General features: G+C 41.4%; 1 pseudogene; it reads right to left on the reverse strand.

The window, feature by feature from the left end:
- Positions 1 to 311: 311 nt before the first annotated feature.
- Positions 312 to 24,026, reverse strand: GTF2IP6 (general transcription factor IIi pseudogene 6; annotated as a pseudogene).
- Between the last annotated feature and the right edge of the window lie 605 nt (positions 24,027 to 24,631).

The following is a 24,631-nucleotide window of genomic DNA, read 5'->3' on the forward strand; positions in this document are numbered from 1 at the left end:
AAAGCTGTGTCCAAAAATGCCATGCCTATTCAGTGACATCAGGTCAGTTAATCCTACTCATAATGCTTGAAGTGGGGGCAGATCTATGATCTTACACAGAAAACAAGTAGCTGATCTGAAAACAAAAAACAAGTCTCTACTTTTTCAGCTCAATCAACTTTTCTTGGATTATATAAATATCTAAGCAACCCATCTGAAAATGTCTTACATCATATTCTCAAAGAAAATAAAAGAGAAACCATTAAAGTGTATTAAAATCTAGCAAAATGGGATTAGGAAGCCAGCCAGCTATCAAGGAAGCAAAGCAATCACTAATCTAGATGCTTCTTTGGCTCTAAGAGAGATCTGCAGTAAAACAAAACTAACAAAACTACACATGAATACACAAAATTAATGACAGCATAAATTTAAATGAATTGTGTTATCCAAGAATTTTTAAAATATATTAACATAAGCTGAATATTCAAATTTATATGAATAAACCTTTGATGGGCACGAAGGAAGAAAGCTCCTCACCTCTTAATAATGAATGAAATCCCGGCTGTGTTCTCCAAAATCCATTTCAGGGTTGCAAGATAGTAATTCTCAGGGTGTTTAAAGGCAACACCTTCTGGAAGCCCCTGTACTATCAAAGCTGACTGGTCTTGTAGCATCTTCTCATATGGTACAGTTACCTCTGTGGGTTTTTGTAAAGCTTTCCCTGGGAGAGGTGAAAAGCAGATAAATGTCATTAAATTGTAAGATTAAAAAACAAAATCATCACTACCTTATTGTGGCTTAATAAAGGCATACGTGATCTTTTGTAATATGTGATTTTAAAATTACTTAATACCATAGCACCCTATTCGCATGTAAGAAGTTCTAAACCTGACACCTATCCAAAGGGCCAAAATGAAAAGTATATTAAATATATGACTTCAAAAACTACACAAAAGGAGAGAGAAATGTCTGATTTCTTGCATTATTGTCTTTAAGATGGTCCTACCCTGGCATATTTCTTGAGTTCCTTCTAAATGGAAGTGGAAAGTAAGGTTATTCCTCATCCATTCAGTTTGTGAAAATGTGTGTTATAATACTGTTAAGTCAATGGCGTAACATAGTCTACCCTTTAGAAAACTCTATTATATCATGTTTCTTTTATAAAATTTAAGTGTATCGCTTTTAAGATAGCAAAAGCAGAAATAGTCCTCAACTGTTTTTTCTGAGTGTTGCCACTTCTACAGCATCTACACTCATCTGACTCACCTGGGTTGTAGACTTTATTTAATGCATCTCTGCAACCTTTTCTTCTTCTTCAACACCTGTAAAAAATAATAAAAATGTGCATACCTATTATCTTAATATTTATTTGGTTTTTAGTAAAAATAGTTTTTCCTGTATACCAATATTTGTGATCTGTTATACAAACAAAAAATAGGTCAAGTGAGGTGGCTCACACTTATAATCCCACCACTTTGGGATGCTGAGGCAGAATTACTTGAGCCCAGGATTTCAAGACTAGCTTGACAACACAGAAACAACCCATCCCTACAAAAAAGATAAATAAAATTAGGTGTGGTGGTGCATATCTGTAGTCCTAGCTACCCTGGAGGCTGAAGCAAGAGGATTGCTTGAGTCCAGAAATTTAAGGTTATGATGAGCTATAATTACACTACTACACTCCAATCTGGGTCACAGAAAATGACCCTGTCTCAAAAAAACAAACAAAAAGGCGGGAAGATTTTTTAAAGGAAGGTTTTAAAATAAAAACCTAAAATAAGAGTAATTTATTGGTTATAAACTTAAATATGGGAAGATTATTATCAGGAAACAAATTCTAGGCTTACAAAGTCTAGCACAATAACCAATAGACACATGTGACACTTGAAATGTGGCCAGTCCAAATTCAGATGTTCTGTAAGTGAACAATACACATTAACTTTTGAAAACTCAGCACAAAAAGTATTCCAAATATCCCATTAATAATTTCTATATTGATTACATATTGAAATATTTTAAAGTATTGCCACTAAAATGATTTTCACTTGTTTCTCTATATTTTTAATATTATAACTAGAAAGTTTTACATCATGTGAATGACTCACATTATATTTAGTTCTATTCAATAGCACTTTTCTTTAAATCCCAGAAAAGGGCTCAGAATTCTCCTGAAGAATTTCTACAACTTCCTCATGAACCTATTGATTATGTTTCAGAAGAACGCTATTGCAAACAAATAAAAGGTACTTGAGAATTAGTTACAAAAACCATTCTTCATGGTATCAAATTAGTAACAATGTAAACAAACTACAAATACCAATAGGCATTGGCTACAACTCACAACTGAGGACAACTCCCCTAATGTTTAGTTGCAATCACTGGAGAACCATGTAAGCCATGGAGCACAGGAAGGGGAGAAAAACATAGCTGCCTGCAAGACTGTGGTATTTGTGGATCAGAGGGCAGGTGATACACACACAATCAAAACAGCGTTATTAGTATAAAGAAACATACAATCAAGGACTTAACATTTCTCAAAATTATAATATTGGCAAAATTTAAAAAATAAGTTACTACCATAAAGCTTGGAAGATTATAACACAGGTGGTGAGGGGAGGGATACAGTGGTGAGGATAGTTTTTTTTAAGAAACTAAAAATACTACTCCGAATAGGAATAGTGAATTAGCAAAATTTTTAATTCACTGGTAATCTGCACAATTTATCATGAATTGAATCTAATCTGACAACAGAAATTTAGGTTTAAACCTTAGTGGCATACAGACATCTGTGGGAGGTACTGTAGGTTCAATTCCAGACCACCACAATCATGGAAGTATAAAGTGAAGTCACACAAATGTCTTTGTTTCCCAATGCATTTGAAAGTTATCTTGAATCTTTCTTTCACAAAAGATCTCTAGGAGGTATGATGCTATTGGATAGCATTTTACACACAGTGGAACTTCTTTCCAAATCAGAATCAATCCTCCAAAAGCCTGCCATGGCTTTATGAAGTAAATTTATGGAATATTTTAAATCTTTTGTCATTTCAACAATATTCACGACATCTTCACCAGGAGTAGACTCCATTTCAGAGACCCGTTTCTTTGCACATTGTAAGAAAGAACTCCTTATCTGTTCACATTTGATCATGAAATTGCAGCAGTTCAGTCCCATCCACAGGCTCCACTTCCTTTTTTGGGGGGAGGCGGGGCAGACAGAGTTTCACTCTTGCTGCCCAGGCTGGAATGCAATGACAGTATCTTGGCTCACTGCAACCTCCGCCCCCTGGGTTCAAGCGATTCTCCCACCCCAGCCTCACAAGTAGCTGGGATTACAGGCATGCACCACCATGCCCAGCTAATATTGTATTTTTAGTAGAGATGGGCTTTCTCCATGTTGGTCAGCCTGGTCTCAAACTCCCGACCTCAGGTGATCCACCTGCCTTGGCCTCCCCAAAGTGCTGGGATTATAGGCATACAGTGGCAAAGATAGTTTTTTTAAGAAACTAAAAATACTACTCTGAATAGGAATTAAGAGCTGCTGTGCCCAGCCAACAGGCTCCACTTCTAGTTCTAGTTCACTTGCTGTTTCCACTACATCTGCAGTTCCTTCCTCCACTAAAATCTTGTACCCTTTAAAGTCACCTATGAGAGATGGAATCAACATCTTCCACAGTCCTGTAAATGATATTTTGTTCTCTCCCAATTAATCACAAATGTTAATGGCACCTAGAACAGTAAACCTTTTCCAGAAGGTTTTTAATTTACTTTGCCCAGATCCATCAGAGGAATCACTCTCTGGCAGCTGTGGCCTTACAAAATGTATTTCTTTCTTTTTTTCAGATGGAGTCTTGCTCTGTTGTCAGATTGGAGTGCAGTGGTGCAATCTCAGCTCACTGGAACCTCCGACTCCCTGGTTCAAGCAATTCTGCTTCAGAAACCTGAGTAGCTGGGATTACAGGTACACACCACCACACTCAGCTAACTTTCGTGTTTTTAGTAGAGACAGAGTTTCACCATGTTTACCAGGCTGGTCTCGATCTCCTGACCTTGTAATCTGCCTGCCTCAGCCTCCCAAATTGCTGGGATTACAGGTATGAGACATTGCACCCAGCCTATAAAATATATTTCTTAGAGAATAAAACTTGAAGGCTGAGTGCATTGGCTCACATCTCTAATCTCAAACACTGAAGAAGGCCAAGGTGGGCAGATTGCTTGAGTGCAGAAGTTTGAAACCAGCTTAGGCAACATGGAAATTTAACATCTCTAACAAAAAAAAAAACCCACAAAAATTAGCTGGGTATGCTGGTGCAACACCTGTGGTCCCAGCTATTCAGCAGGCCGAAGTGGGAGGATCACCTGATCCTGAGAAGATTGAGGCTGCAGTGAGCTGTGATTGTGCCGTTACATTCAAGTCTGAGCAACAGTGAGGTGACCTTCTCAAAAAAGAAAAAAATAAAAATCATAAGACTTGAAATTACTCCTAGATCCATGGGCTGCAGAATGGATGTTGCATAAGCAGGCATGAAAATGACATTCATCTCCTTGTACACATCCATCAGGGCTCTCAGAGTGACTGGGTGCAGTGCTAATGAGCAGTAATATTTTGAAAGGAACTTTTTTTCTGGGCAGTTGGTCTCAAAACTAGGCTTAAAATATTCAGTGAACAGGCATGGAGCCAAGATGGCTGAATAGGAACAGCTCCAATCTACAGCTCCCAGCATGAGTGACGCAGATGATGAGTGATTTCTGCATTTCCAACTGAAGTACTGGGTTCATCTCACCACGGATTGTTGGGCAGTGGGTGCAGGACAGTAGGTGCAGTACACTGAGCCTGAGCTGAAGCAGGGTGAGGCATTACCTCACCCGGGAAGCACAAGGGGTCCGGGAATTCCCTTTCCTAGCCAAGGACAGATGGCACCTAGAAAATCGGGTCACTCCCACCCTAATAATGTGCTTTTCAGATGGTCTTCGCAAACGGCACACCAGGAAATTATATCCCACGCCTTGCTCAGAGGGTCCTACAACTACGGAGCCTCACTCATTGCTAGCACAGCAATCTGAGATCAAACTGCAAGGCGGCAGTGAGGCTGGGGGAGGGGTGCCTGCCATTGCTGAGGCTTGAGTAGGTAAGCAAAGTGTCAGGGAAGCTCAAACTGGGTGGAGCCCACTGCAGCTCAAGGAGGCCTTCCTGCCTCTGTTAGACTCCAACTCTGGGGGCAGGGCATAGCCAAACAAAAGGCAGCAGAAACCTCTGCAGACTTAAATGTCCCTGTCTGACAGCTTTGAAGAGAGTAGTAGTTCTCCCAACATGCAGCTTGAGATCTGAGAACGGACAGACTGCCTCCTCAAGTGGGTCCCTGACCCCCAAGTAGCCTAACTGGGAGGCACCCCCAAGTAGGGGCAGACTGACACCTCACACAGCTGGGTACTCCTCTGAGACAAAACTTCCAGAGGTACAATCAGGCAGCAACATTTGCTGTTCACCAATATCTGCTGTTCTGCAGCCTCCGCTGCTGATACCCAGGCAAACAGGGTCTGGAGTGGGCCTCTGGCAAACTCCAACAGACCTGCAGCTGAGGGTCCTGACTGTTAGAAGGAAAACAAACAAACAGAAATGACATCCACACCAAAACCCCATTTGTACATCACCATCATGAAAGACCAAAAGTAGATAAAACCACAAACATGGGGGAAAAAAAGAACAGAAAACCTGAAAAGTCTAAAAATCAGAGTGCCTCACCTCCTCCAAAGGAACACAGCTCCTCACCAGCAATGGCTCAAAGCTGGATGGAGAATGACTTTGATGAGTAGAGAGAAGAAGGCTTCAGACGATCAAACTACTGTCCAAGCTAAAGGAGGAAGTTCGAACCCATGGCAAAAAAGTTAAAAACCTTGAAAAAAAGATTAGACGAATGGCTAACTAGAATAACCAATGCAGAGAAGTCCTTAAAGGACCTGATGGAGTTGAAAACCACGGCACAAGAACTACGTGACGAATGCAGAAGCCTCAGTAGACGATTCAATCAACTGGAAGAAAGGGTATCAGTGATGAAAGATCAAATGAATGAAATGAAGCAAGAAGAGAAATTTAGAGAAAAAAGAATAAAAAGAAATGAACAAAGCCTCCAAGAAATATGGGACTATGTGAAAAGACCAAATCTACGTCTGACTGTTGTACCTGAAAGCGACAGAGAGAATGGAACCAAGTTGGAAAACACTCTGCAGGATATTATCCAGGAGAACTTCCCCAGTCTAGCAAGGCAGGCCAACATTCAAATTCAGGAAATACAGAGAATGCCACAAAGATACTCCTCAACAAGAGCAACTCCAAGACACATAATTGTCAGATTCACCAAAGTTGAAATGAAGGAAAAAATGTTAAAGGCAGCCAGAGAGAAAGGTCGGGTTACCCACAAAGGGAAGCCCGTCAGACTAACAGCTGATCTCTCCACAGAAACTCTACAAGTCAGAAGAGAGTGGGGGCCAATATTCAACATTCTTAAAGAAAAGAATTTTCAAGCCAGAATTTCATATTCAGCCAAACTAAGCTTCATAAGTGAAGGGGAAATAAAATACTTTACGGACAACCAAATGCTGATTTTGTCAGCACCAGGTCTGCCCTAAAAGAGCTCCTGAAGGAAGCACTAAACATGGAAAGGAACAACTGGTACAAGCCACTGCAAAAACATGCCAAATTGTAAAGACCATCGAGGCTAGGAAGAGACTGCCTCAACTAACGAGCAAAATAACCAGCTAACATCACCATGACAGGACCAGACTCACACATAACAATATTAACTTTAAATGTAAATGAGCTAAATACTCCAATTAAAAGACACAGACTGGCAAATTGGATAAAGAGTCAAGACCCATCAGTGTGCTGTATTCAGGAAACCCGTCTCATGTGCAGAGACACACATAGCTCAAAATAAAGGGATGGAGGAAGATCTACCAAGCAAATGGAAAACAAAAAAGGGCAGGGGTTGCAATCCTAGTCTCTGATAAAACAGACTTTAAACCAACAAAGATCAAAAGAGACAAAGAAGGCCATTACATAATGGCAAAGGGCTAACAATTTAACGAGAAGAGCTAACTATCCTAAATATATATGCACCCAATACAGGAGCACCCAGATTGATCAAGCAGTTCCTTAGAGACCTACAAAGAGACTTAGACTCCCACACAACAATAATGGGAGATTTTAACACACCACTGTCAACATTAGACAGATCAACGAGACAGAAAGTTAACAAGGATACCCAGCAATTGAACTCAGCTCTGCACCAAGTGGACCTAATAGACATCTATAGAACTCTCCACCCCAAATCAACAGAATATATATTCTTTTCAGCACCACACCACCCCTATTCCAAAATTGACCACATAGTTGGAAGTAAAGCACTCCTAAGCAAACGTAAAAGAACAGAAATTATAACAAACTGTCTCTCAGACCACAGCACAAACAAACTAGAACTCAGGATTAAGAATCTCACTCAAAACTGCTCAATTTCATGGAAACTGAAAAACCTGCTCCTGAATGACTACAGGGTACATAACGAAATGAAGGCAGAAATAAAGATGTTCTTTGAAACCAACGAGAACAAAGACACAACATACCAGAATTTCTGGGACGCATTCAAAGCAGTGTGTAGAGGGAAATTTATAGCACTAAATGCCCACAAGAGAAAGCAGGAAAGATCTAAAATTGACACCCTAACATCACAATTAAAAGAACTACAGAAGCAAGAGCAAACAAATTCAAAAGCTAGCAGAAGGCAAGAAATAACTAAGATCAGAGCAGAACTGAAGGAAATAAAGACACAAAAAACCCTTCAAAAAATCAATGAATCCAGGAGCTGGTTTTTTGAAAGGATCAACAAAATTGATAGACCGCTAGCAAGACTAATAAAGAAGAAAAGAGAGAAGAATCAAATAGACGCAATAAAAAATGATAAAGGGGATATCACCACCAATCCCACAGAAATGCAAACTACCATCAGAGAATATTGTAAACACCTCTACGCAAATAAACTAGAAAATCTGGAAGAAATGGATAAATTCCTCAACACATACACCGTCCCAAGACTAAACCAGGAAGAAGTTGAATTTCTGAATAGACCAATAACAGACTCTGAAATTGAGGCAATAATTAATAGCTTACCAACCAAAAAAAGTCCAGGACCAGACGGATTCACAGCTGAATTCTACCAGAGGTACAAGGAGGAGCTGGTACCATTCCTTCTGAAACTATTCCAATCAATAGAAAAAGAGGGAATCCTCCTTAACTCATTTTATGAGGCCAGCATCATCCTGATACCAAAGCCTGGCAGAGACACAACAACAAAAGAGAATTTTAGACCAATACCCCTGATGAACATCGATGCAAAAATCCTCAATAAAATACTGGCAAACCGAATCCAGCAGCACATCAAAAAGCTTATCCACCCATCATCAAGTGGGCTTCACCCCTGTGATGCAAGGCTGGTTCAACATACACAAATCAATAAATGTAATCCAGCATATAAACAGAACCAAAGACAAAAACCACGATTCTCTCAATAAATGCAGAAAAGGCCTTTGACAAAATTCAACAGCCCTTCATGCTAAAAAATCTCAGTAAATTAGGTACTGATGGGACGTATCTCAAAATAATATGCTATTTATGACAAACCCACAGCCAATATCATACTAAATGGGCAAAAACTGGAAGCATTCCCTTTGAAAACTGGCACAAGACAGGGATGCCCTCTCTCACCACTCCTATTCAACATAGTGCTGGAAGTTCTGGCCAGGGCAATCAGGCAGGAGAAAGAAATAAAGGGCATTCAATTAGGAAAAGAGGAAGTCAAATTGTCCCTGTTTGCAGATGACATGATTGTATATCTAGAAAACCCTATTGTCTCAGCCCAAAATCTCAAGCTGATAAGCAACTTCAGCAAAGTCTCAGAATATAAAATCAATGTGCAAAAATCACAAGCATTCTTATATACCAATAACAGACAGAGAGCCAAATCATGAGTGAACTCCCATGCACAATTGCTTCAAAGAGAATAAAATACCTAGGAATCCAACTTACAAGGGACGTGAAGGACCTCTTCAAGGAGAACTACAAACCACTCCTCAAGGAAATAAAAGAGGATACAAAGAAATGGAAGAGCCTCTCCCTCTCCCTCTCCCTCTCCCTCTCCCTCTCCCTCTCCCTCTCCCTCTCTGTCTCCCCACGGTCTCCCTCTCATGCGGAGCCGAAGCTGGACTGTACTGCTGCCATCTCGGCTCACTGCAACCTCCCTGCCTGATTCTCCTGCCTCAGCCTGCCGAGTGCGCAGGCACGTGCTGCCACACCTGACTGGTTTTGGTGGAGACAGGGTTTCGCTGTGTTGGCCGGGCCGGTCTCCAGCCCCTAACCATGAGTGATCCGCCAGCCTCAGCCTCCCGAGGTGCCGGGATTGCAGACGGAGTCTCGTTCACTCAGTGCTCAATGGTGCCCAGGCTGGAGTGCAGTGGAGTGATCTCGGCTCGCTACAACCTACACCTCCCAGCCGCCTGCCTTGGCCTCCCAAAGTGCCGAGATTGCAGCCTCTGCCCGGCCGCCACCCCGTCTGGGAAGTGAGGAGTGTCTCTGCCTGGCCGCCCATTGTCTGGGATGTGAGGAGCCCCTCTGCCTGGCTGCCCAGTCTGGAAAGTGAGGAGCATCTTCGCCCGGCCGCCATCCCATCTAGGAAGTGAGGAGCGCCTCTTCCCAGCCGCCATCACATCTAGGAAGTGAGGAGCGTCTCTGCCCGGCCGCCCATCGTCTGAGATGTGGGGAGCACCTCTGCCCCGCCGCCCCATCTGGGATGTGAGGAGCGCCTCTGCCCGGCCGTGACCCCGTCTGGGAGGTGAGGAGCATCTCTGCCCGGCCGCCCCGTCTGAGAAGTGAGGAGACCCTCTGCCTGGCAACCACCCTGTCTGAGAAGTGAGGAGCCCCTCCGCCCGGCAGCTGCCCCGTCTGAGAAGTGAGGAGCCTCTCCGCCCGGCAGCCACCCCATCTGGGAAGTGAGGAGCGTCTCCGCCCAGCAGCCACCCCATCCGGGAGGGAGGTGGGGGGGGTCAGCCCCCCGCCCGGCCAGCCGCCCCGTCCGGGAGGGAGGTGGGGGGGGGTCAGCCCCCCTGCCCGGCCAGCTGCCCCGTCCGGGAGGTGAGGGGCGCCTCTGCCCGGCCGCCCCTACTGGGAAGTGAGGAGCCCCTCTGCCCAGCCAGCCGCCCCGTCCGGGAGGGAGGTGGGGGGGTCAGCCCCCTGCCTGGCCAGCCACCCCGTCCGGGAGGTGAGGGGCGCCTCTGCCCGGCCGCCCCTACTGGGAAGTGAGGAGCCCCTCTGCCTGGCCACCACCCCGTCTGGGAGGTGTGCCCAACAGCTCATTGAGAATGGGCCAGGATGACAATGGCGGCTTTGTGGAATAGAAAGGCGGGAAAGGTGGGGAAAAGATTGAGAAATCGGACGGTTGCCGTGTCTGTGTAGAAAGAAGTAGACATGGGAGACTTTTCATTTTGTTCTGCACTAAGATAAATTCTTCTGCCTTGGGATCCTGTTGATCTGTGACCTTACCCCCAACCCGGTGCTCTCTGAAACATGTGCTGTGTCCACTCAGGGTTAAATGGATTAAGGGCGGTGCAAGATTTGCTTTGTTAAACAGATGCTTGAAGGCAGCATGCTCGTTAAGAGTCATCACCAATCCCTAATCTCAAGTAATCAGGGACACAAACACTGCGGAAGGCCGCAGGGTCCTCTGCCTAGGAAAACCAGAGACCTTTGTTCACTTGTTTATCTGCTGACCTTCCCTCCACTATTGTCCCATGACCCTGCCAAATCCCCCTCTGTGAGAAACACCCAAGAATTATCAATAAAAAAAAATTAAAAAAAAAAAAAAAGAAATGGAAGAACGTTCCATGCTCATGGGTAGGAAGAATCAATATCGTGGAAATGGCCATACTGCCCAAGGTAATTTATAGATTCAATGCCATCCCCATCAAGGTACCAATGACTTTCTTCACAGAATTGGAAAAAACTACTTTAAAGTTCATATGGAACCAAAAAAGAGCCTGCATCACCAAGTCAATCCTAAGCCAAAAGAACAAAGCTGGAGGCATCAAACTACCTGACTTCAAACTATACTACAAGGCTACAGTAACCAAAACTGGTACCAAAACAGAGATATAGACCAATGGAACAGGTAGAGCCCTCAGAAATAATGCCACATATCTACAACTATCTGATCTTTGACAAACCTGACAAAAACAAGAAATAGGGAAAGGATTCCATATTTAATAAATGGTGCTGGGAAAACTGACTAGCCATATGTAGAAAGCTGAAACTGGATCCCTTCCTTACATCTTATACAAAAATTAATTCAAGATTGATTAAAGACTTAAACGTTAGACCTAAAACCATAAAAACCCTAGAAGAAAACCTAGGCAATACCATTCAGGACATAGGCACGGGCAAGGACTTCATGTCTAAAACACCAAAAGCAATGGCAACAAAAGCCAAAATTGACAAATGGGATCTAATTAAACTAAAGAGCTTCTGCACAGCAAAAGAAACTACCATCAGAGTGAACAGGCAACCTACAGAATGGAAGGAAGTTTTTGCAATCTACTCATTTGACAAAGAGCTAATATCCAGAATCTACAATGAACTCAAACAAATTTACAAGAAAAAAACAAACAGGATAGCATTAACAAAACAAACAGGGAGGGATAGCATTAGAAGATAGATACCTAATGTTAAATGATGAGTTAATGGGTGCAGCACACCAACATGGCACATGTATACGTATGTAACAGACCTACACGTTGTGCACATGTACCCTAAAACTTAAAGTGTAATAATAATAAAAAAATTCAGTGAACAATGCTATAAAGAGATGTGCTGTCATCCAGGCTTTATTCTTCTGTTGATAGAACACATGCAGAGCAGATTTAGCGTAGCTCTTAAGGGCCCTAGAATTTTTGGAATGGTAAATGAGCATTGGCTTCTATTAAAGTCACCAGCTGCATTAGCCTCTAACAAGAGTCTCAGCCTGTCCTTTGAAGCTTTGAAGCCAGTAATGGAATTCTCTCTAGCTAGCAAAGTCCTAGATGGCATCTTCCAATATAAGGCTGTTTTGTCTACATTAATAATCTGTTTTTTGAGTGTAGCCATCTTCATGAATTATCTCAGCGAGATCTTCTGAAGAACTCACAGTTCTTACATCAAGCACTTGCTGCTTCACCTTGCACTTTTATATTATAGAGACTGTGTCTTTCTTTAAACCTCATGAGCCAACCTCAGCTAGCTTTCAGCTTTTCTTTTGTAGCTTACTCACCTCCTCTCAGCCATCACAGAACTGAAGAGAGTTAGGGCCTTGTTCTGGATTAAGCTTTGACTTACAGGAATGTTATGGCCCATTTGATCTTCTATTCAGACCAAAGTTTCTCGGTATCAGCAACAAGGCTGTTTTGCTTTTTTATCATTTGTGGGTTCACTGGAGCAGCACTTCTCATTTCCTTCGATAACTTTTCCTGTGCATTCACCACCTGGCCAACTGTTTGGCCTAGCTTTCAACTGCCAACATGTCTTCCTCACTAAGCTTCTTCATTTTTAACTTGATTTAAAGTGAACTGACTGCAACTCCTTCTTTTACATGAACAATTAGAGGCCACTGGAGGGCTATTAACTGGTCTCACTTCAATATTGTGTCTCAGGGACTAGGGAGGCCTTAGGAGAGGAAGCAATGGGAAACCTCCTCATTGGTGGAGCAGTCAGAGCAGACAACATTTACCAATGAGGTTTGCCATCTTACACAGGTGTGTTCATGGAGTCCAAAACAATTACAACAGTAACATCAAAGCTCACTGATCTCAGGTCACCACAGCACATATAATAATCATGAAAAAGTTTGAAATATTCTAAGAGTAACCAAATGTGACACAGACAACCAAAGAGAGCACATGCTGTTGGAAAAATGGCACAACGGACTTGCTTGACACAAGATTGCCACGAATCTTCAATTTGTAAAAACTGCAGTATCTGCAGGGCTCAAAAAAGTTGAGTTATGCCTGGATGTATTCTGTGCCTATAGACGCCCTGCCTTTTTTGTTCCCTTTCAGTGTTTCCCTCAGTTAACATGAAACCTATCGATAGTGTTAGGTTACACACAGATATGAAAGTTGTCATACTGTGAAAAGGCCATAAGTATTAACACCCTATAGTAAATTTTAATACTCTGTTCCAATGTCAGATAAGCTCACTGCTCTAAACAAGGATTGCAAAACCCACTGAAGATTCAGATAAGGTGATTCCACTGAGCGAGTTGAGGAGAACTGTTTAATTCTGCATCATGCTTAAACAAACTTCTCTGCACAGTGAATTTCTTGTTTGCAGTTCACCAACTTTATCTAGAATTCCTTATCTGACTAAGAACTATTCAAAAATTCTCTCCCTTCATTACCTTCTCTCTAATGCATCTCATTAATCCAGAGTGAAGCCAAGCAAGGAGCCCCATACAATCAACACTTGCCATTGTTCTTAACTCTTCAGTATCCACCGTGACATATTACGACTTCGGTGATTCCTTTTGAGCATTTTGAAATGTCTGCATAAACATTTCAGAAAATCATTCATAGTTTAGGCCGTGCACAGTGGCTCACACCTGTAATCCCAGCACTTTGGGAGGCCGAGTGGATCATTTGAAGTCAGGAGTTCAATACCAGCTTGACCAACATGGTGAAACCCCATCTCTACTAAAAATACAAACCAAAAAAAAATTAGCTGGGCGTGGTGCCACGTGCCTGTAACCCCAGCTACTCAGGAGGCTGAGACAGGGGATTTGCTTGAACTCAGGAAGCAGAGGTTGTGTGAGCCGAGACCTTGCCACTGCACTCCAGCCTAGACAACAGAATGAGATTCCATCTCAAAAAAAAAAATTTTTTTTTATAGTTTAAACCTCATTCTGCTTTAGAAGAAAATATGACTAGTCTTATCTATAAATATTTAGGTTGAAAATCAATGAAATAAAAATGATAAAAACACAATGCTTGCAATATTTTACAAAATCTGTTTGAAAATCCTTTCTGGTATTGAAAAAATTGTGTCCTCTGTCCTTCAGTTCCGAAGGCAAAGACATCTGCTTTATACTCAGTGATGCAGGCCCCTTTGGCCTTAAACTTGGCCAGTTCTTTCAACTACAATAAGCACAGCAAATATTATGTTAAAGGCAGATATTTAAAATCACCATTTCTGCTAGGTGAATGAAAAAAAATCTAGCACAAGGCTGAGCACAGCGCCTCACGCCTGTAGTCCCAGCACTTTCGGAGGCCAAGGTGGGAAGATCATGAGGTCAGCAGTTTGAGACCAGGCTGGCCAACATAGTGAAACCCTGTCTCTACTAAAAATGCAAAAATAATAATAATACTAATAATAAATAAATAAATAAAAGGCTGGGTGTGGTAGCTCACGCCTGTAATCCCAGCTACTTGGGAGGCTGAGGCAGGAGAATCACTTGAACCTGGGAGGCAGAGGTTGCAATGAGTAGAAATTGTGCCAATGCACTCCAGCCTGGGTGACAGTGCAGGACTCTGTCTCAAAAAAAAAAAAAAAAAAAAAAAAAAACCTAACACCATTTTTTAAAGTTACTACTCTTTCTAAATAGATTTTTGCCTGATTTTAAAAAAAAGACAGCACAAAATTTATAAGAAAAAAAATGCAGAAATCCCTTATAATCTATTATTGGTCAGATTCTCCAAGAAAGAGACTGAGATTTCACACAGGCTTGCTGGGGAGCACTGTCAATAACAGCACCCAGGAGGTGGGAGGCAGGCATGGATGAACAGGCAAAGTGCTGAACAGGGATGCAGCTGCACCAACAGCTCAGAAGCCAGTGTGGTCCTCCCCAGGGAAAAGGTGGACAAGGTGACTCGAACACTCACAGCAGCTGGGGAACTTAGCGCCATCTGCTGAAACCCAGATGAAACCCACACTATAGCATTCAGTACATAATCCCCTCCTCCAGAAATCCTCCTCCCCATCTACACATAGCCAGAATCACATTTAGATGATTATTTACTGAATTTCACTAAGTATATTTCTCTGAGAGTCAATATTCTTTAAAAACATTATAGAGTACGTAGTACTCCATTTCATGGATACACCATAATTCCTTTAGTGCTTACATTATTTCAAAGGTCAGTGATTCCAATTTTCCCTCTTAAAAATAACACTACCGTAATAACCTGGGAAGAAAATATTTATGTACATATTCAATGATTTTCTCAAAAAAGACATGAAAGTCAAGAAAAACCACCATTGAGAGTCAATACTCCAAATACTCAAAATCTACTGAAATTTGCTTTCTAATAAGGTTCATAATATCCTAGCAAATGTTACCATGTGACTTTTCCAGAAACCTTGAAAAAGGGTATCTTAGACTCATTAAAATACTCCACTGATTGGTGTTAAAATTAAAGAGTATCGTAGCATAATTTTCTGCCAATTACCATATCCTTTGCCTATTTTTCAAATGTGTTAGTGTATATCTGACTAACCCATAAAATTACATCACTTATTTTAGGCATAGAAAAGCCATTTACGGAATTAAATAATTATATAATAATTACATATATTTTGTTTTGGTTTTAAAATTTGTCTTAGTATAACTATTTTTGCTTATCTATAATTTAACTCATCACATGACGAAGACTATACGTTGAAGCTTTTTTTTTTTATACTTTAAGTTTTAGGGTACATGTGCACATTGTGCAGGTTAGTTACATATGTATACATGTGCCATGCTGGTGCGCTGCACCCACTAACTCGTCATCTAGAATTAGGTGTATCTCCCAATGCTATCCCTCCCCACTCCCCCCACCCCACCACAGTCCCCAGAGTGAGATATTCCCCTTCCTGTGTCCATGTGATCTCATTGTTCAATTCCCACCTATGAGTGAGAATATGCGGTGTTTGGTTTTTTGTTCTTGCGATAGTTTACTGAGAATGATGATTTCCAATTTCATCCACGTCCCTACAAAGACATGAACTCATCATTTTTTATGGCTGCATAGTATTCCATGGTGTATATGTGCCACACTTTCTTAATCCAGTCTATCATTGTTGGACATTTGGGTTGGTTCCAAGTCTTTGCTATTGTGAATAATGCCGCAATAAACATATGTGTGCATGTGTCTTTATAGCAGCCTGATTTATAGTCCATTGGGTATATACCCAGTAATGGGATGGCTAGGTCAAATGGTATTTCTAGTTCTAGATCCCTGAGGAATCACCACACTGACTTCCACAATGGTTGAACTAGTTTACAGTCCCACCAACAGTGTAAAAGTGTTCCTATTTCTCCACATCCTCTCCAGCACCTGTTGTTTCCTGACTTTTTAATGATGGCCATTCTAACTGGTGTAAGATGGTATCTCATTGTGGTTTTGATTTGCATTTCTCTGATGGCCAGTGATGATGAGCATTTTTTCATGTGTTTTTTGGCTGCATAAATGTCTTCTTTTGAGAAGTGCCTGTTCATGTCCTTTGCCCACTTTTTGATGGGGTTGTTTGTTTTTTTCTTGTAAATTTGTTTGAGTTCATTGTAGATTCTGGATATTAGCCCTGTGTCAGATGAGTAGGTTGTGAAAATATTCTCCCATTTTGTAGGTTGCCTGTTCACTCTGATGGTAGTTTCTTTTGCTGTGCAGAAGCTCTTTAGTTTAATGAGATCCCATTTGTCAATTTTGGCTTTTGTTACCATTGCTTTTGGTGTTTTAGACATGAAGTCCTTGCCCATGCCTATGTCCTGAATGGTAATGTCTAGGTTTTCTTCTAGGGTTTTTATGGTTTTAGGTCTAATGTTTAAGTCTTTAATCAATCTTGAATTGATTTTTGTATAAGGTGTAAGGAAGGGATCCAGTTTCAGCTTTCTACATATGGCTAGCCAGTTTTCACAGCACCATTTATTAAATAGAGAATCCTTTCCCCATTGCTTGTTTTTGTCAGGTTTGTCAAAGATCAGATGGTTGTAGATATGCGGCACTATTTCTGAGGGCTCTGTTCTGTTCCATTGATCTATATCTCTGTTTTGGTACCAGTACCAGGCAGTTTTGGTTACTGTAGCCTTGTAGTATAGTTTGAAGTCAGGTAGTGTGATGCCTCCAGCTTTGTTCCTTTGGCTTAGGATTGACTTGGCGATGCGGGATCTTTTTTGGTTCCATATGAACTTTAAAGTAGTTTTTTCCAACTCTGTGAAAAAAGGCATTGGTAGCTTGATGGGGATGGCATTGAATCTGTAAATTACCTTGGGCAGTATGGCCATTTTCACGATATTGATTCTTCCTACCCATGAGCATGGAATGTTCTTCCATTTGTTTGTATCCTCTTTTATTTCCTTGAGCAGTGGTTTGTAGTTCTCCTTGAAGAGGTCCTTCACATCCCTTGTAAGTTGGATTCCTAAGTATTTTATTCTCTATGAAGCAATTGTGCATGGGAGTTCACTCATGATTTGGCTCTCTGTTTGTCTGTTGTTGGTGTTTAAGAATGCTTGTGATTTTTGTACATTGATTTTGTATCCTGAGACTTTGCTGAAGTTGCTTATCAGCTTAAGGAGATTTTGGGCTGAGACAATGGGGTTTTCTAGATATACAATCATGTCATCTGCAAACAGGGACAATTTGACTTCCTCTTTTCCTAATTGAATACCCTTTATTTCCTTCTCTTGCCTGATTGCCCTGGCCAGAACTTCCAACACTGTGTTGAATAGGAGTGGTGAGAGAGGGCATCCCTGTCTTGTGCCAGTTTTAAAAGGGAATGCTTCCAGTTTTTGCCCATTCAGTATGATATTGGCTGTGGGTTTGTCATAGATAGCTCTTATGATTTTGAGATATGTCCCATCAACACCAAATTTATTGAGAGTTTTTAGCATGAAGGTTGTTGAATTTTGTCAAAGGCTTTTTCTGCATCTATTGAGATAATCGTGGTTTTTGTCTTTGGCTCTGTTTATATGCTGGATTACATTTATTGATTTGCATATATTGAACCAGCCTTGCAACCCAGGGATGAAGCCCACTTGATCATGGTGGATAAGCTTTTTGATGTGCTGCTGGATTCGTTTTGCCAGTATTTTATTGAAGATTTTTGCATCAATGTTCATCAAGGATATTGGTCTAAAATTCTCTTTTTTGGTTGTGTCTCTGCCCGGCTTTGGTATCAGGATGATGCTGGCCTCATAAAATTAGTTAGGGAGGATTCCCTTTTTTTCTATTGATTGGAATAGTTTCAGAAGGAATGGTACCAGTTCCTCCTTGTACCTCTGATAGAATTCGGCTGTGAATCCATCTGGTCCTGGACTCTTTTTGGTTGGTAAGCTATTGATTATTGCCACAATTTCAGATCCTGTTATTGGTCTATTCAGAGATTCAACTTCTCCCTGGTTTAGTCTTGGGAGAGTGTATGTGTCGAGGAATTTATCCATTTCTTCTAGATTTTCTAGTTTATTTGCATAGAGGTGTTTGTAGTATTCTCTGATGGTAGTTTGTATTTCTGTGGGATCGGTGGTGATATCCCCATTATCATTTTTTATTGCATCTATTTGATTCTTCTCTTTTTCTTTATTAGTCTTTCTAGCGGTCTATCAATCTTGTTGATCCTTTCAAAAAACCAGCTCCTGGATTCATTAATTTTTTGAAGGGTTTTTTTGTGTCTCTATTTCCTTCAGTTCTGCTCTGATTTTAGTTATTTCTTGCCTTCTGCTAGCTTTTGAATGTGTTTGCTCTTGCTCTTCTAGTTCTTTTAATTGTGATGTTAGGGTGTCAATTTTGGATCTTTCCTGCTTTCTCTTGTGGGCATTTAGTGCTATAAATTTCCCTCTACACACTGCTTTGAATTCATCCCAGAGATTCTGGTATGTTGTGTCTTTGTTCTCCTTGGTTTCAAAGAACATCTTTATTTCTGCCTTTATTTCGTTATTTACCCAGTAGTCATTCAGGAGCAGGTTGTTCAGTTTCCATGTAGTTGAGCGGTTTTGAGTGAGAGTCTTAATCCTGAGTTCTAGTTTGATTGCACTGTGGTCTGAGAGATAGTTTGTTATAATCTCTGTTCTTTTACATTTGCTGAGGAGAGCTTTACTTCCAAGTATGTGGTCAATTTTGGAATAGGTGTGGTGTGGTGCTGAAAAAAATTTGTATTCTGTTGATTTGGGGTGGAGAGTTCTGTAGATGTCTATTAGGTCTGCTTGGTGCAGAGCTGAGTTCAATTCCTGGGTATCCTTGTTGACTTTCTGTCTCGTTGATCTGTCTAATGTTGACAGTTGGGTGTTAAAGTCTCCCATTATTAATGTGTGGGAATCTAAGTCTCTTTGTAAGTCACTAAGCACTTGCTTTATGAATCTGGGTGCTCCTGTATTGGGTGCATATATATTTAGGATAGTTAGCTCTTCTAGTTGAATTGATCCCTTTACCATTATGTAATGGCCTTCTTTGTCTCTTTTGATCTTTGTTGGTTTAAAGTCTGTTTTATCAGAGACTAGGATTGCAACCCCTGCCTTTTTTTGTTTTCCATTTGCTTGGTAGATCTTCCTCCATCCTTTTATTCAGAGCCTATGTGTGTCTCTGCACGTGAGATGGGTTTCCTGAATTCGGCACACTGATAGGTCTTGACTCTTTATCCAATTTGCCAGTCTGTGTCTTTTAATTGGAGCATTTAGTCCATTTACATTTAAAGTTAATATTGTTACGTGTGAATTTGATCCTGTCATTATGATGTTAGCTGGTTATTTTGCTCGTTAGTTGATGCAGTTTCTTCCTAGTCTCGATGGTCTTTACATTTTGGCATGATTTTGCAGTGACTGGTACCGGTTGTTCCTTTCCATGTTTAGTGCTTCCTTCAGGAGCTCTTTTAGGGCAGGCCTGCTGGTGACAAAATCTCTCAGCATTTGCTTGTCTGTAAAGTATTTTATTTCTCCTTCACTTATGAAGCTTAGTTTGGCTGGATATGAAATTCTGGGTTGAAAATTCTTTTCTTTAAGAATGTTGAATATTGGCCCCCACTCTCTTCTGGCTTGTAGAGTTTCTGCTGAGAGATCCGCTGTTAGTCTGATGGGCTTCCCTTTGTGGGTAACCGGACCTTTCTCTCTGGCTGCCCTTAACATTTTTTCCTTCATTTCAACTTTGGTGAATCTGACAATTATGTGTCTTAGAGTTGCTCTTCTTGAGGAGTATCTTTGTGGCGTTCTCTGTATTTCCTGAATCTGAACGTTGGCCTGCCTTGCTAGATTGGGGAAGTTCTCCTGGATAATATCCTGCAGAGTGTTTTCCAACTTGGTTCCATTCTCCCCATCACTTTCAGGTACCCCAGTCAGACATAGATTTGGTCTTTTCACATAGTCCCATATTTCTTGGAGGCTTTGCTCATTTCTTTTTATTCTTTTTTCTCTAAACTTCCCTTCTTGCTTCATTTCATTCATTTCATCTTCCATTGCTGATACCCTTTCTTCCAGTTGATCACATCGGCTCCTGAGGCTTCTGCATTCTTCATGTAGTTCTCGAGCCTTGGTTTTCAGCTCCATCTTCTTATACATTCTTCTAAATTTTTTTCAAAGTTTTCAACTTCTTTGCCTTTGGTTTGAATGTCCTCCTGTAGCTCAGAGTAATTTGATCGTCTGAAGCCTTCTTCTCTCAGCTCGTCAAAGTCATTCTCCATCCAGCTTTATTCCGTTGCTGGTGAGGAACTGTGTTCCTTTGGAGGAGGAGAGGCGCTCTGTGTTTTAGAGTTTCCAGTTTTTCTGTTCTGTTTTTTCCCCATCTTTGTGGTTTTATCTACTTTTGGTCTTTGATGATGGTGATGTACAGATGGGTTTTTGGTGTGGATGTCCTTTCTGTTAGTTAGTTTTCTTTCTAACAGACAGGACCCTCAGCTACATGTCTGTTGGAATACCCTGCCGTGTGAGGTGTCAGTGTGCCCCTGCTGGGGGGTGCCTCCCAGTTAGGCTGCTCAAGGGTCAGGGGTCAGGGACCCACTTAAGGAGGCAGTTTCCCCATTCTCAGATCTCCAGCTGCGTGCTGGGAGAACCACTGCTCTCTTCAAAGCTGTCAGACAGGGACATTTAAGTCTGCAGAGGTTACTGCTGTCTTTTTGTTTGTCTGTGCCCTGCTCCCAGAGGTGGAGCCTACAGAGGCAGGCAGGCCTCCTTGAGCTGTGGTGGGCTCCACCCAGTTGGAGCTTCCGGGCTGCTTTGTTTACCTAAGCAAGCCTGGGCAATGGCTCCCCTCCCCCAGCCTCGCTGCCGCCTTGCAGTTTGATCTCAGACTGCTGTGCTAGCAATCAGTGAGACTCCGTGGGCGTAGGACCTTCCCAGACAGGTGCAGGATATAATCTCGTGGTGTGCCGTTTTTTAAGCCAGTCGGAAAAGTGCAGTATTCGGGTGGGAGTGACCCGATTTTCCAGGTGCGTCCGTCACCCCTTTCTTTGACTCTGAAAGGGAACTCCCTGACCCCTTGCACTTCCCAAGTGAGACAATGCCTTGCCCTGCTTCGGCTCGCACACGGTGCGTGCACCCAATGACCTGCACCCACTGTCTGGCACTCCCTAGTGAGATGAACCCGGTAGCTCAGATGGAAATGCAGAAATCACTCACGCTGTGAGGTGTAGACCGGAGCTGTTCCTATTCGGCCATCTTTTGCCTTCATCCTTGAAGCTTGTTTTTACCAAAATTTTTATTTTTTACCAAATAGCCTATTTTCTCAGTATCATTTGTTGAAAACCATAAGCTTTCCACTATTTATTTTTGATTTGTACAATAATCTCCCTCTAATTTCTTAACTGGAGATTATTTCTGCATAATATTGCTTTAAAATGTTATCTTCAGTAACTAATTTAGCAACTGGTGAGGTGATCGAAATCTTTTGAGTTATAATAAAGTCATGGTAGAGAACTTCTGACCTGGAGGTGGGCCGAGAGCTACCCCAGCGTGAAGCTTGATGGGCCTTGGTAATTTCCTTCCATTGCACTTACTTGACTTGTGATGTGGCTACTCTCCTATAAGGAACTATTATTTACTTACCTTGAGTAAATGAGCGTACATTCTTGCTTCACTATCCACACTCTAAAACAATCCTGTCAACAAAGGCAATGGTTATGAAAGAGTAAGCAAGATTCATGTACTATCCATAGATTAAAGAAGTCTACCAGCCAAGGAAGGGACAAAGTCAGCCTGGATCTGCTTAGCACTCTGACAAGCCAGTGAAGAACTCAGCAGTTTCTACACCTTTAATTATACTGTGTTATATACAACTAGGAATAGAAGGAGAAATGGTCTTACTAATGCTGGGAAGGAAGAAATAAAGGCTGAGAATAGTGAAATGACTATGCCAAACATGAAAGAACTATAAAGAAATTCTAAGGAAGTGAATGGGTCTTACGTGGTCCTATGGTACTCTTTGCAGAGATCAATATTTTCAAAAATTATTTTATTGTCGGCCAGGCATGGTAGCTCACACCTGTAATCTCAGCACTTTGGGAGGCCAAGGTGGGTGGATCACGAGGTCAGGAGATCGAGACCATCCTGGCTAACACTGTGAAACCCCGTCTCTACTAAAAATACAAAAAAAAATTAGCCGGGCATGGTGGTGGGCCCCTGTAGTCCCAGCTACTCGGGAGGCTGAAGCAGGAGAATGGCATGAACCCAGGAGGTGGAGCTTGCAGTGAGCCAAGATCATGCCACTGCACTCCAGCCTGGGCAACAGAGTGAGACTCCATCTCAAAAAAAAAAAAAAAAAAAAAAAAAGAGAGACCAGCCTGGGCAATATATTAAGATTTCATCTCCACTAAAAAGCGAAACAAAGTAGCCAGACGTGGTAGTACATGCATACACTCCCAGCTACTCCAAGGCGGAGGTGGGAAGACCACTTGGACCCAGGATGTCCAGGCTGCAGTGAGCCATGATTACACAACTGCATTCCAATCTGGACAAAAGGGTAAGACCCTTTCTCCAAAAAAAAAAGGTAAATAAAAAATAGAAAATACCTAAGCCTGATACTTTTTATAATAAGTACTATTTCCAGCTACATACCCATAAAAATAGAAAATAATTATATAAATACCATGATAGTAATATAAAAATACAAAACTACATAATTGGTACTCAATATTTCACTATAATTATGCATATGATAGGCTTTTTTTTTTTAAAGAGCTGGCCAGGTGCGGTGGCTCTCACCTGCAATCCCAGCAATTTGGGAGTCCAAGGCAGACAGATCACTTGAGCTCAGCAGTTGAAGACAAGCCTCACCAACATTGTGAAACCCCATCTTTAGCAAAAAAATACAAAAATTAGCTGAGTGTGGTGGCACACATCTGCAGCCCCAGCTACTAGAAAGGCTGTCATGAGAATCACTTGATCCTGGGAAGCGGAGGTTGCAGTGAGCTAGGATCGCACCACTGCACTCCACCCTGGGTGACAGAGTGAGACTCTGTCAAATAAAATAAAATAAACAGCTAACACTAAACAATTTAGAAAGAGGTGGTTAGTGCAATAGTGAATGTGTAAGCAGAAGAAATATACATACACAATAGTAAAGATGCCTTAATGACCCCGAATTCTGGGAGTCTTCTACATATAGATACAATAAAACTCCAGCACCATACTCTAGGATACAAACTCATTCTGAGTAACCACAAATATTATACATAATTTCAAAACACTTGCAAAACAAATGATTGCCTAAAATAATGGTAGAAAATTATTTGACATTCAATGTAAAAATTAAACATTCTGAAGCATGGTAATAAAATGTGATTTGAAAGGCATAACTGCTATTCAAGAAAAAAAAACTACTCCTTAAAACCAAAAAAATACGTACAATTATATCTTCTACAAAAACAAATCAACCTTAACTACAGTCCAGTTCTACCCAACTATGGAATGTCAGAATAGAAGGTCTCACCATGGACTCAAGAGCTGACATGAGGAATGTCACCACCATCCTGCTGAGGACTCCTCATCTTCAACGGCCAGGGCGGACATTGTTACTTGGGCCATGATCTTTGTGCAAGACAAGCAATAAGAAAGTGAGTGGTAGAAATATGGTGTTCCAGACCCACATTCAGAGCTCTGAGGATCTCCCACTGGCTGCCTAATTTACTGTTTTCTTGCCTAAGAAAAAAAACAAGACTCAAAAACTACATGATTTGCCCAAAACTCTCATCGGATAGAGAATCTATCCCCTAACTTTCTATCTAGTGTTATTTCAATAAAATTGGGTTAATATAAACACCCAAAAGAAATGCAGATGGCACTCAGAATCAGTGAAATTTCTCTCAAGAAGGAGGAGGAGGAGAGATGCTTTACAACCCAGTGATGGACTATCACAGACCAAGGCAGGACAGAGCTGCCAAGCTCCCTCTCTCCCCTGCACATCCTGATACAGCAAAGGGTGGGTGCAGTGGACTGAGGCTGGGTGGAGAGAAGTTTCTCTTCTTACCGAGAAAATAGATCACAAGCATCAAGAAACAAGTAAGATTATTTATTATTACAGCATATGGCTGTATTTGAAAAACTTTTTGTAATATTTTGGTAACAATAAAGACCCTCAAATGAATTTCAAACACTATAAATATTCAACACATACACAGAAAACATTAACT

The sequence above is a fragment of the Homo sapiens genome, chromosome 17 (assembly GCF_000001405.40).
Source record: "Homo sapiens chromosome 17, GRCh38.p14 Primary Assembly".
NCBI classification, from domain to species: Eukaryota; Metazoa; Chordata; class Mammalia; order Primates; family Hominidae; genus Homo; species Homo sapiens.